Raw genomic sequence first — 12,409 nt, 5'->3', positions numbered from 1 at the left:
CCTGGACCACATAGTAGACCCCATCCCTACAAAAAAAAAAAAGTCGGGTGTGGTGGCACACGCCTGTAGTCCCAGCTACTCAAGAGGCTGAAGTGGGAGGATCCCTAGCCCAGGAGGTCAAGGCTGCAGTGAGCCATGATTGCACCACTGCAATCTTTGGGTGACAAAGACTCTGTTTAAAAAAAAAAAAAAGTGTCATGGGTTAAAAGTTATCCTCAAGACTGTTCTATTCTCCAGTAGAAGAAACATTTATATTAATAAATGAGAATTGTGAGTATTAATAAATGTTATAAAGATGATAAAGTAATGTGGTAGATAATGACCTAGGTTGCTATCTTAACTGTGAGACTGTGTAGAATGCCTCTTAGAAGAGGTAACTTGGAGTTAAAACGTAAATGTTATGAAGTGGCAGAAGACCTGGAGGCAGCACATTGCAAGCTGAAAGAACAGCATGTACAAGAGCCCTAAATAGGAACAAAGTGTGAGGAAGAGAAAATATACCAGTAAGGCTAGAGAGTAGTTGAATGAAGAGGAAAGCAGATGAGGTCAGAGCCTGGCATGGTGGCTTATGCCTGTAATCCCAGCACTTTTAGAGGCTGAAGTGGGTGGATCTCTTGAGCACAGGAGTTCGAGACCAGCCTGGGCAACATGGCAAAACCCTGTCTCTGCAAAAAATAACAAAAATTAGGCAGGCGTGGTGGCACACACCTGAGGTCTCAGCTACTAGGGAGGCTGAGGTGGGAGGATCCCTAGAGCCTAGGAGGTTGAGGCTGCAGTGAACCGTGATCATGCTGCTGCACAACAGGCTGGGTGACAGAGCAAGAACCTGTCTCAAAAACAGACAAACAAAAAAACAAGAAAAGAAAAAAGATGAGGTTAGTTGTAGACAGATACCAGATCATATAGGGTAGGTCATTTTTAATATCATGTAGGGTCTTAGTAGTTCATAGTTGTAACGCAGGTAGGGTTAACAGCAGGAAGCCTTTGGAAGGTTTTAAGCAGATCACTCCAGTGATATGATTTATGCTGTACAAGGTACATTCTGGTTGATCTGGTGCGGATTAATTGTAGAGAGGTAAGATTTGACTTTGGGAAGCTGAGGCGAGCAGATCACAAGGTCAGGAGTTCAAGACCAGCCTGGCCAATATGGTGAAACCCCATCTCTACTAAATATACAAAAAAAAATAGCCAGATGTGGTAGCAGGCACCTGTAATCCCAGCCTCTTGGGAGGCTGAGGCAGGAGAATTGCTTGAACCGGGGAGGTGGAGGTTGTAGTGAGTCAAGATCATGCCACTGCACTCCAGCCTGGGCGACAGAGTGAGACTCTGTCTCAAAAAAAAAAAAAAAAAAAGTAAGATTTGAAGCAGAGAGACAGATTTGGAGGGTGTTGGAACAGCATAGCCTCAGCCTCCCGAGTAGCTGGGATTATAGGCATACACCACCACGCCCGGCTAATTTTTGTATTTTTAGTAGAGATTGGGTTTCGCCATGTTGCCCAGTCTGGTCTTGAACTTATGGGCTCAAGTGATCCTCTGGCCTCCCAAGTAACTGGATTACAGGCTTACATCTCTGTGCCTGGCTTGGTGAGGCTTTTGTTCAGAAGAGACATGAGACTTTGTATAGCTAGGGGAGAAAAAGTTGACCCGGACCCCGAGAGAAGCAACATGGAATTATGGAGAAAATATCCTTTTCCAAGGGGACTAGTGTTAGAGATCTTGGGTTGATGACTTCAGTGAGGTGGGCAGTGCTAAGGTCTTAGTTCCAGAGATGGTAAAAGAATAGGTCCTGTTATTGTGTGTTTGTGTTGATAGTATTTAGGCCCTATTTTGGTTCATTCATTTACTAATCTATATGTATTGTAGTAATGGATTATCCTGGAGTTAGAAATACTTTTAAATACAAAAACAAGTGGAAAGTCTTTCCCACCTATATCCCTCAGCTACCTTGTTTCTATTCACACCATTCCTCCAATGCTCCACCCCACCTAGGAAACTATTGTTCAATTTCTCATGTAACCTTCTAGAGTTTCTTTATATAAATAAAGACAATAAAAATACAGATTCCTGGCCAGGCACAGTGGCTCACGCCTGTAATCCCAGCACTTTGGGAGGCTGACGTGGGTGGATCACGAGGTCAGGAGTTCGAGACCAGCCTGACCAACATGGTGAAACCCCATCTCTACTAAAAATACAAAAATTAGCCGGGCGTGGTGGTGCACGTCTCTAGTCCCAGCTACCTGGGAGGCTGAGGTGGAGGATCACCCGAGGCCGGGGAGTTCTAGGGTGCAGTGAGCTGCTATTGTGCCACCACACTTCAGCCTGGGCAACAGAGTAAGACTGTCTCAAAAACAAAAAGAAAAAAAAGATAAATAAATAAATAACTGCAGATTCTTGTTTCTTTCTATCTTTACCCTAAAATCCACCAATCTCAAAGGTAGCATATTATAACTGTTATTTTGCAAATTGGTCTTCCCACCTTCCCCCTTGCACAGTGTGTTTTTCACTTAAGAATAGAGATTTACACAGAAAATCTTTCCATAGAGTATATAGGATTTTTTTCCTTTTTCTTTTTTTTTGAGACAGGGTCTATTTCTGTTGCCCAGCCTGGAGTGCAGTGGTGTGATCTTGGTTCACTGCAGCCTGAGCCTCCTGGATTCAAGTGATCTTTCCACCTTGGCCTCTGAGTAACTGGATCACAGGCACATGTCTCCACTCCTGGCCCTGGATTTTATTTTTAGGAGTAGTTTTAGGTTCACAGCAAAATTGAGCAGGAGTACAGAGAGTTTTCACATACACCCATTACCCTACACAGTCATAACTGTACCCACACATGCATAGCTTCCCCCACTATCAACATCCTGAATAAACAAGTTTGTTATTTTTGAGTTCACCAATTTTCTTACTTTTGGAAAAACAATCAGCTTTATGTACTTCGAAATTGTTCTGAAATTTGTTTTATAATGTTCCTCTCATTTAAAAAATTCATCTTCATCAAAAGACACCTTAAAGAAAGTGAAAACATGCCACATGTTTTGGGAAAAATAATTGTAATATATGTAATAGGGAATTAGGGTCGTGACCAGGGCTGGCTTCATGGGTGTGCAATCTGTGCAGTCACGCAGGACCCCTCATTTAGATGGTCCCCGTGCTTAGTTTACTGGTAAGCTGTCACCGTCTTGAAATTCTTAATTTTTGAAAAAGTAGCCCAACATTTTTATTTACTTATTTTAAAATGTTTTTATGGTGAAAAATTTATATTTGGAATTTGCCAGCTGAGCTCAGTTTTGGTTATTCCAGTTTTGTTGGCAACATTCAAAGCATCATAGTCAGGAATCTGTTGAATATATGCCTTCTCTCTGGCAGACTCAATCCGGGTGTTGACCTTGGCCATGTCAGTGTCCTAGAGCTTCTTCACAGCTTGTTTCATCTGGCGCTTGTTGGCTTTGACATACACAACTAATGCAAGTGTGGTGTGGTCTTCCGTCTTCTCATTGGTCAGGATTAAGCGTGTTTTTCTTGGGAGTGCTCTTCCTAGTATATTTTGGCTGCAGTGTCTTGGGGCAGCCTGAAGGTGGGTAGCATGCGGATATCTTTCAGCAGTGTGTTTTTGGCCTTTAAAGCCTTTGTTGGCTTCAGCTTTGGGAGAGGCAGGGGCTTCCTTTTTCTCTTTGGTGCCATCTTGGTGAAAAGGCCTCACTTTTTATTTTGCACTGTGCTCTGCAAATTATGTTGTCTGTCCTGGTCCTGAATATATAAAGCCTACTAATTAATTAGAAAAAGCCAATCCAATAAGAAAATGGCCAAAATCTGAGAGCAAAGATCTTCAGCCTCATTAGATCTTCAACCTACATATTTTAAAATGTGTAGCATTAAGAAGTGATTACATATATAAGTAATAAAATTTACGTGACTTAATTTAGCTCATTTAGATTAATACTTTTGTCTTCAACCTTTTTTGTAGTGTATGTTTTAACTGGAAAAAGTCTTCCATGAAAACGTCACTTTTAAAAAATAAGTAATGCCATCTGTTTTCCTAAAAGACTGAAATGGGGGCGACCATTCTTAGGTAAGTATCCAATTTTGTATTTTTAATTACTTATATATTGGTTAGAGTATAAATCTTTTTTTTTTTTTTTTTTTTTTTGAGGTGGAGTCTTGCTGTGTTGCCCAGGCTGGAGTGCAGTGGTGCAATCTCGGCTCACTGCAACCTCTGCCTCCTGGGTTCAAGCAATTCTCCTGCCTCAGCCTCCTGAGTAGCTGGGATTACAGGCACATGCCACAATGCCCGGCTAATATTTTTGTATTTTTAGTAGAGACGGGGTTTCACCATGTTGGCCAGGCTGGTGTTGAACTCCTGACCTCAAGTGATCTGCCCGTCTTGGCCTCCCAAAGTGCTGGGATTACAGGCATGAGCCACTGCTCCCAGCAGATTATGAATCTTTTAGTTAACCTATGAGGTAGGGAGGGAGTGGGAGTAGGGGGGATGCTAGGTCTTGTTTGAAGATAGTCTGTTATTGAGGATTATGTTTCCTACAGAGTTAAGAACAGAACTTCATGAAGCAGAGAGGAGTGTCAGTAGTGTTGAAAGCTCTTTAGACAGGTTAGTTGAAAACTGAAGAAACTTTTTTGGATTTGACAGTTAGGAATTCATTGATGATCCCAGCAGGGGCCATTTTAGGAGACTGTTTATGGCTGAAAATCAGGTTGCAGTGGAGTGAAGAGTAAAGAGGAGGTGATAAAATCTAAATATTTCAGCTATTTCATTTATTAAACCCATATGTAATATAGCTGCAGTCATCACTTCCTTAAGCACTGGAGTTATAGTTAGGGTAACCATATATCCTGGTTCAAATCTCCTATAGATCAATTAATGCCCAATTATTTTTATTTTTGTTTTTTTGAAACGGAGTCTTGCTCTGTCACAGGCTGGAGTACAGTGGCACCATCTTGGCTAACTGCAACCTCTGCCTCCCATTTTCAAGCTATTCCCCTGCCTCAGCCTCTCAAGTAGCTGGGACTACAGGCGTGTGCCACCTCGCCCAGCTAATTTTTGTATTTTTAATAGAGATGGGGTTTCACCATGTTGACCAGGCTGGTCTCGAACTGCTGACCTCAGGTGATCTGCCCGCCTCAACCTCCCAAAGTGCTGGGTGGGATTATAGGCATGGGTCACCATGCTGGGCCTTTTTTTTTTTTTTTTTTTTTAAAAGACAGAGTCTCATGCTCTGTCACCCAGGCTGGAGTGCTGTGGTGTGATCTCGGCTCACTGCAACGTCCGCCTCCCGGTTTCAAGTGATTCTCCTGCCTCAGTCTCCCAAGTAGCTGGGATTACAGGCACCCACCACTATGGTCGGCTAATTTTTGTATTTTTAGTAGAGACGGGGTTTTACCATGTTAGCCAGGCTAGTCTCGAACTCCTGACCTCAGGTGATCTGCCTGCCTCGGCCTCCCAAAGTGCTGGGATTACAGGCGTGAGCCACCGCGCCCGGCTGAGATAATTTTTTTTTAAGAAAATGGGGTCTCAGTCTGTCACTCAGGCTGGAGTCCAGTGATGCTATCACTTCTGGGCTCAAGTGATCCTCCTGCCTCAGCCTCTTGATGGGATTACAGGTGTAAGCCACCAGGCTCACCCAGCAAGAGGTGATTTAAAGTATACAAGAAGATATGCATAGGTTGTATGCAAAGACCATACAATTTAATATCAGGAACTTGAGCATTTCTGGATTTTGGTGTCTGCAAGGGTTCTGGAAACAATTCCCCCCAGATACCACAGATGACTATATATTTATTGTTTATCTTCTCTGTCCTCATTAGCATATCAACTCCATGAGAAATGGACCTCTGTTTTTGTTCACTGTTGTAACCCTAGCAGCTAGCAGAGTTCTTGGTATATTAGTAAATGCTCGGTAAATATGTATTCAGTATATAATGGCCTCCAGTGCCTTGATGCATCCCCTTTATCAATCCTGCATCTCATAGACAGTTATTTCAATTACCAGTGTCAAATTTCTCATGTTCACCTAAAAGGTTATGCTAGCTAAATTCATACTGCCTGCCATGTCATGCTAGCTTATCTCAAACTAGGCCTTTACTATTGCTCAGCAATCATATTAAATTTCTCCACCGTCTCTGGTCTGGTTAGTTGCAACAGCCTCTTAACTGACTTTTGTGCTTCCACTCTGCACCTGTAATTCATCTTCAATAAAACAGAGGACTCTAAGGCATATATCATGTCATACCACTTTTATGCTTAAAAACTCACAAGATGCTGGGTGCTGTGACTCACGCCTGTAACCCCAGCACTTTGGGAGGCCAAGGCAGGTGGATCACCTGAGGTCTGGAGTTGGAGACCAGCTGGCCAACATGATGAAACTTGATCTCTACTAATAATACAAAAAATTAGCTGGGCATGGTGGCGGGCACCTGTAATCCCAGCTACTTGAGAGGCTGAGGCAGAAGAATCTCTTGAACCTGGAGGGTGGAGGTTGCAGTAAGCTGAGATCGCGGCATTGCATTCCAGCCTGGGCAACAAGAGCGAAACTCCATCTCAAAACAAAACAAAACAAAAAACAAACAAAAAGAACTCACAAGACTTTGAGTCTAAACTCCTTACCACAGCCACAGAACACTACGTGGCCTGGCTCTGCCTACTTCTTCAATCTGAAATTTTTTTAAGAGATGGTGCCTCACTATGTTGCTCAGGCTGTTTTCAAACTCCTAGCCTTAAGCGATCCTCCTGCCTTGGCCTCCCAAAGTGCTGGGATTACAGATGGGAGCCACAGTGCCTGGTCAACTTCTTTAATCTCATCTCATGACACTATGGTCCTCATCCACCTTATTGTAGAAACACTGGAATTCTTTCCATTCCTCAAACACAATCAGCTCATTTCCACCTTGAGGTTTAAACTTTTTTTTTTTTTTTTGAGCCAGAGTCTCGCTGCAACGCCCAGGCTGGAGTGCAATGGTGTGATCTTGGCTCATTGCAACCTCTGCCTCCCAGATTCAAGCGATTCTCCTGCCTCAGCTTCCCGAGTAGCTGCAATTATAGGCATGTGCCGTCATGCTCGACTGATTTTTGTATTTTTATTAGAGACGGGGTTTCACCATGTTGACGGGGCTGGTCTCAAACTCCTCACCTCGCGGGATCCGCCCCCCTCGGCCTCCCAAAGTGCTAGGATTACAGGCGTGAGCCACCATGCCCAGCGAGGTTTAAACTTACATAGCTTGATTTTCTTTTAGTTTGGTTAAATTCTTGTCTTTCAGATCTTAATGTCACCTCCTCAGAAGAAGATAACCAGTCACTATCAACTGCCATATTTTAATTCTTTTCATATCACATTACAATTTGGTATTGTTCTTGTTCACTCCAGTGATTAGCTCCACGAGAACACTAATCTTGTCTACAAGAGTGCCTGGCACAATGCAGGTGGTCAGTAAATATTTGGTGAATTTGGTAGCTGCCCTATGTTTTTCCTAAATGCTTTCTTCTCCCAGGATCCCAACCTCACCACTAATTAACTATATGCCGAATAGATAACCTCAATCCCTACATTATTAAAAAAAGTAAGATAAGAAATCCTACACTTAGCTGGGTGTGGTGGCACACACGTGTAATATTGGCTACTGAGGAAGCTGAGGCAGGAAGATTTCATGAGCCCAGGAATTCAAGGTTGCAGTGAGCTGTAATTGGACCACTGCACTCCAGTCTGGGCAACAGAGTATGACCCTGTTGGAGGGGAGGGGGAGAGAAAGAGAAGGAGAAAAGAAATCCTACAGCTTCTTCCTCTTTGCCTAAAAATTCCTTGATATATCCTCTCTTCCAGTCCTCTAGTTTCTAAGCAGAAAGATTGCTACTCTTCTAAGAGCTAAACCCTTTACCTATGTCTTTGATCTCAATCAAACTTCTTACCTCTTCTGAGTAAAAACTTAATTACTCTTTTTAATATTTAAACTGTATGCAAGCTGAGTACAGTGGCCCACACTTGTAATTAGCCAGGCATGGTGGCGAATGCCTGCAGTTCCGCCTACTTGGGAGGCTGAAGTGGAAGGATTGCTTGAGCCCAGGAGGTCGAGGCTGCAGTGAGCCCAGATCCTACCACTGCACTTCAGCCGGGCAACAGAGCGAGACTGTGTCTCAAAAAACAAAAATTATCTCAATGGTAACCTGGAAAATGAAAAAAATTATAATACCTAATACAATGTAAATGCCTTGTGAATAGGTGTTATTGTATTATTTAGGGAATAATGACAATAGAAAAAAGTCTGTACATGTTTAGTACAGGCACAACAGAACCATTACCCGATCCAATATTTCTTTTTTTTCTTTAATTTTTTGAAATGGAGTGTCACTTTGTTGCCCAGGCTGGAGTGCAATGGCGCGATCTCAGCTCACTGCAACTTCCACTTCCCTGGTTCAAGCGATTCTCCTGCCTCAGCCTTCAGAGTAGCTGGAATTACAGGCATGCACCACCAGGCCTGGCCCCGCATCCAATATTTTCGATTCATAGTTGGTTGTATTCATGGATGTGGAACCCACCGATATAGAACACACAGATATGGAGGGCCTACTATATAATATGTTGGGTGGTGATAAGTGTTATTTTGAAGATTTATACCTTGTTTGCCATTGTCATTAAGGTATGGAAATATATTAGGGAAAAGTAGACATTGATGAAGGAGGGATATGTTTACTAAGGTAAAGTTAGGGAAGACCTCTCTGATTAGGTGACATTTGAGTTGGCAGCTCCAAATGAAGTGAGGGAGCAGGCCCTCTGGGTATTTTGGATAGGGTGGGGAGGGCATTTTAGACTGAAGGAACTTAAATACAAAGTGTTTGAAGCTGGATGTGCTTGATGTGTTCTATGAGCTGCAAGAGGGCCGGAGTGGCTGCATTGAAGTAAGTGAGGGTGGAGGTAGTAGGAGCTGACATCATCATTGTGAATGTGGTAGAGGCTTGAGTCAAGTTGTAGACCAGAGTCAGGCCTTTTTCTCTGTATGATGGTGGAGCTGCAGATCCAGGAGTGAGGTTGTGGTGGGAAGTGAAAGGTCAAGCTGTGGCTGAGAGGTGTAACTTCAGGCTGAAGAATTGTGAGGCCGCCAGGTGCAGTGGCTCACGCCTGTAATCCCAACAGTTGGGGAGGCTGAGACGGGCAGATCCCTTGAGTTAGAGACCAGTCTGGGCAACATGGTAAAACCCCATCACTACAAAAAATGTAAAAATCAGTCGGGCGTGGTGGCGCATGCCTGTAGTCCCAGCTACTCGAGAGACTGAGGCTAGAGGATTGCTTGAGCCTGAGAGGTGGAGGTTGCAGTGAGCCGAGATTGCACCACTGCACTCCAGCCTGGGTGACACAGCAAGACATCTCAAAAAAAAAACAACCATGAGGTCAGATGTTTGAAGTATCTGAAAGTGAAGATGAGAGAAGAGGGTGTACAATAAAACAGATTTTTGAACACCACAGGGAGGTAGGAAGCGTTGAAAAAGGTGAGTTGGAGGCACAGAGGGCCTGTAAGTTCATAATGGACAAGTTTATTTGGCTTCAGGTTTTTTGTTTTGTTTTGTTTTTGAGGTGGAATCTCACTCTGTTGCCCAGGCTGGAGTGCAGTGGTGTGATCTCGGCTTGCTGCAACCTCCACCTCCCAGGTTCAAGTGATTCTCCTGCCTCAGCCTCCTGAGTAGCTGGGACTCAGGGTTTTTTCTTTTTTTTTTTTTTTTGAGAAGGAGTCTCACTCCGTCACCTAGGCTGGAGTACAGTGGCACGATCTTGGCTCACTGCAAGCTCTGCCTCCTGGGCTCACGCCATTCTCCTGCCTCAGCCTCCCGAGTAGCTGGGACTACAGGCACCCGCCACCACGCCCAGTTAATTTTTTTTTTTTTTTTGTATTTTTAGTAGAGATGGGGTTTCACTGTGTTAGCCAGGATGGTCTCAATCTCCTGACCTCATGATCTGCCCGCTTCGGCCTCCCAAAATGCTGGGCTTCCAGGCATGAGCCACCGTGCCCGGTCTCAGGGTTTAAAAAAAAAAATTGGTGAAATACACACAATATAAAATTTATCATTTTGCTTTTTTTTTTTTTTAATGAGGACAGGGTTTTGCCCTGTTTCTCAGGCTGGCCTCGAACTCCTGAGCTGAAGTGATCTGCCCACCTTGGCCTCACAAAATGCTAGGATTATAGGTGTGAGCCACTGCATCTGGGGGAAATTTAACCACTTTTAAGTGTATAATTCAGTGGCATTAAGTACATTCACAAAAGTACATCATCACTGTCCATCTCCAGAACTTTTTCATCATCCCTAACCGAAACTCCATACCTATTAAATAATAACTTCTCATTGCCCCCTCTTCTTTAGTCCCTGAGAAACCACTGTTCTATTTTCTGTCTCTATGAATTTGACTACTCTGCTTCAGATGCCTTGTATAATTGGAATCATACAATATTTGTCTTTTTGTTTCTGACTTATTACACTTGGCATTATATTTTTAAGGTTCATTCATTTTGTAGCATATAGTAGAATTTCATTCCTTTTAAAGGCTGAATAGGCTGGGCCTGGTGGCTCACGCCTGTAATCCTAGCACTTTGGGAGGCCAGGACGGGCAGATCACGAGGTCAGGAGTTCGAGACCAGCCTGGCCAACATGGTGAAACCCCGTCTCTACTAAAAATATGAAAATTAGCTGGGTGTGGTGGCCCGCATCTGCAGTCCCACCTACTCGGGAGGCTGAGTCAGGATAATCACCCCTGAGTCCAGGAGGTGGAGCTTGTGCCGAGATCACACCACTAAACTCCAGCCTGGCGACAGAGAGAGACTCCGTCTCCAAAAAAAAAAAAGGCTGAATAATATTCCATTGTATGTACACACCACATTTCCACATTTTTTTTGTCTATGTATCTGTTGATGGTGACACTGGTGCTGTTTCTACCTTCTGGCTGTTGTGACCAGTGCTGCTGTGAGCACTGGTGTACAAATCTGAGTAAATCCCTGCTTTCATTTCTTTTGCATACATCACCAGAAGTGGGATTATTAGATCATAGTGGATCATATGCTTTAATTTTTCTTTTTATTTTTTTTGAGATAGGGTCTCACTCTGTCAACCAGGCTAGAGTACAGTGGTGTAGTCATGGCTCACTGCAACCTCCACCTCCTGTGCTCAAGTGATCCTCCCACCTCAGCCTCCTGAGTAGCTGGGACTACAGGTGCCCACCACCACACCTGGCTAATTTTTTGTATTTTTATTAGAGACAGTGTTTCGCCACGTTGCCCAGGCTAGTCTTGAACACCTGGCTCAAGCTGTCTGCCTGCCTTGGCCTCCAAAGGACCAGAAACAGTAGGCACTCAACAATATCATGCTGGGATTACAGGCGTGAGCCATCACGCCCTGCCATATGCTTTAATTTTTTGAGGAACAATCCTGCTGTCTTCCATACTGGCTATACCATTTTATATTTGCACCAGCAATACACAAGATTTCCAGTTTCTCCACAGCCTTGCCTGGGTTTGGTTTTATAAAAAAAAAACTCTGTGGTGTTGTTTTTTGTTTTTTTTTTTTTTTTTTTTTTTTTTTTGAGACGAAGTCTCTCTCTTTTCCCCCAGTCTGGAGTGCAATGGCACGATCTGGGCTCACTGCAACCTCCGCCTCCCGGGTTCAAGCGATTCTCCTGCCTCAGCCTCCCTAGTAGCTGGGATTACAGGTGCGTACCACTATGCCCAGCTAATTTTTTGTATTTTAAGTAGATACGGGGTTTCACCATGTTGGCCAGGCTGGTCTCAAACTCCTGACCTCAGGTGATCCGCCCGCCTTGGCCTCCCAAAGTGCTGGGATTACAGGGGTGAGCCACCGCCCCTGGCCTTTTTTTTTTTTTTTTTTTTTTTTGAGACAAAGTCTTGCTCTGTCACCCAGGCTTGAGTGCAGTGGCATGATCTCGGCTCACTGCAACCTCAGTCTCCCAGGTTTAAGCGATTCTCCTGCCTCAGCTTCCCAAGTAGCTGGGATTACAGGCGCATGCCACCAGGCCTGGCTAATTTTTGTATTTTTAGTAGAGACAGGGTTTTGCCATGTTGGTCAGGCTGGTCTTCAACTCCTGACCTCAGGTGATCTGCCCGCCTCGGTCTTCCAAAGTGCTGGGATTACAGGCGTGAGCCACTGTGCCCAGCCAGTAGTATAGTTGTGGTTTTTGAATAATGGAATGTTTTAAGTTTATTTCCTTAAAAGAATGTTTATCATACACTGTTTTCTGGTAGTTTTAGAAGTAGCACAAATCCTTATGCTCTGCTACAAGGTCAGAACTGGTAAAGAAAGGTGTCTTCATCCAGGCGTGGTGGCTCATGCCTGCAATCCCAGTACTTTGGGAGGCCAAGGCGGGCAGACCACCTGAGGTCAGGAGTTAGAGACCGGCCTGGCCAACATGGC

General features: G+C 44.0%; 1 protein-coding gene and 1 pseudogene across 13 annotated transcripts in view, besides 2 other annotated features; one reads left to right on the top strand and one right to left on the bottom strand.

The window, feature by feature from the left end:
• PIK3CB (phosphatidylinositol-4,5-bisphosphate 3-kinase catalytic subunit beta) overlaps window positions 1-12,409 on the top strand; it is a 182,231-nt gene that overhangs the window by 34,400 nt on the left and 135,422 nt on the right. For 9 of the 13 annotated variants that reach the window (NM_001437289.1, NM_006219.3, NM_001437293.1 and 6 more), the window contains exon 2: window positions 3,962-4,066. The exons of 2 other annotated variants lie outside the window; for them this stretch is intronic. The gene's annotated coding sequence lies outside the window, so the exon portion shown is untranslated. Of the gene's footprint in view, window positions 1-3,961; window positions 4,067-4,536; window positions 4,601-12,409 lie in introns of all 13 variants that reach the window. 2 more of the 13 variants (XM_047448307.1, XM_047448310.1) reach the window with 1 other exon arrangement.
• RPL23AP40 (ribosomal protein L23a pseudogene 40) lies at window positions 3,290-3,678 on the bottom strand (annotated as a pseudogene).
• Window positions 8,954-9,023: an enhancer, noted in NCBI's record as "active region_20606". NCBI's record gives its function as "activates an Ori minimal core promoter by ATAC-STARR-seq in GM12878 lymphoblastoid cells {active_cell/tissue: GM12878}" and the evidence as "EXISTENCE:reporter gene assay evidence [ECO:0000049][PMID:35858748]".
• Window positions 9,304-9,513: an enhancer, noted in NCBI's record as "active region_20605". NCBI's record gives its function as "activates an Ori minimal core promoter by ATAC-STARR-seq in GM12878 lymphoblastoid cells {active_cell/tissue: GM12878}" and the evidence as "EXISTENCE:reporter gene assay evidence [ECO:0000049][PMID:35858748]".

The sequence above is a fragment of the Homo sapiens genome, chromosome 3 (assembly GCF_000001405.40).
Source record: "Homo sapiens chromosome 3, GRCh38.p14 Primary Assembly".
Classification (NCBI taxonomy): Eukaryota; Metazoa; Chordata; class Mammalia; order Primates; family Hominidae; genus Homo; species Homo sapiens.
Note: the sequence above shows the minus strand (reverse complement) of the source record. Positions and strands in the feature narration are given on the sequence as shown.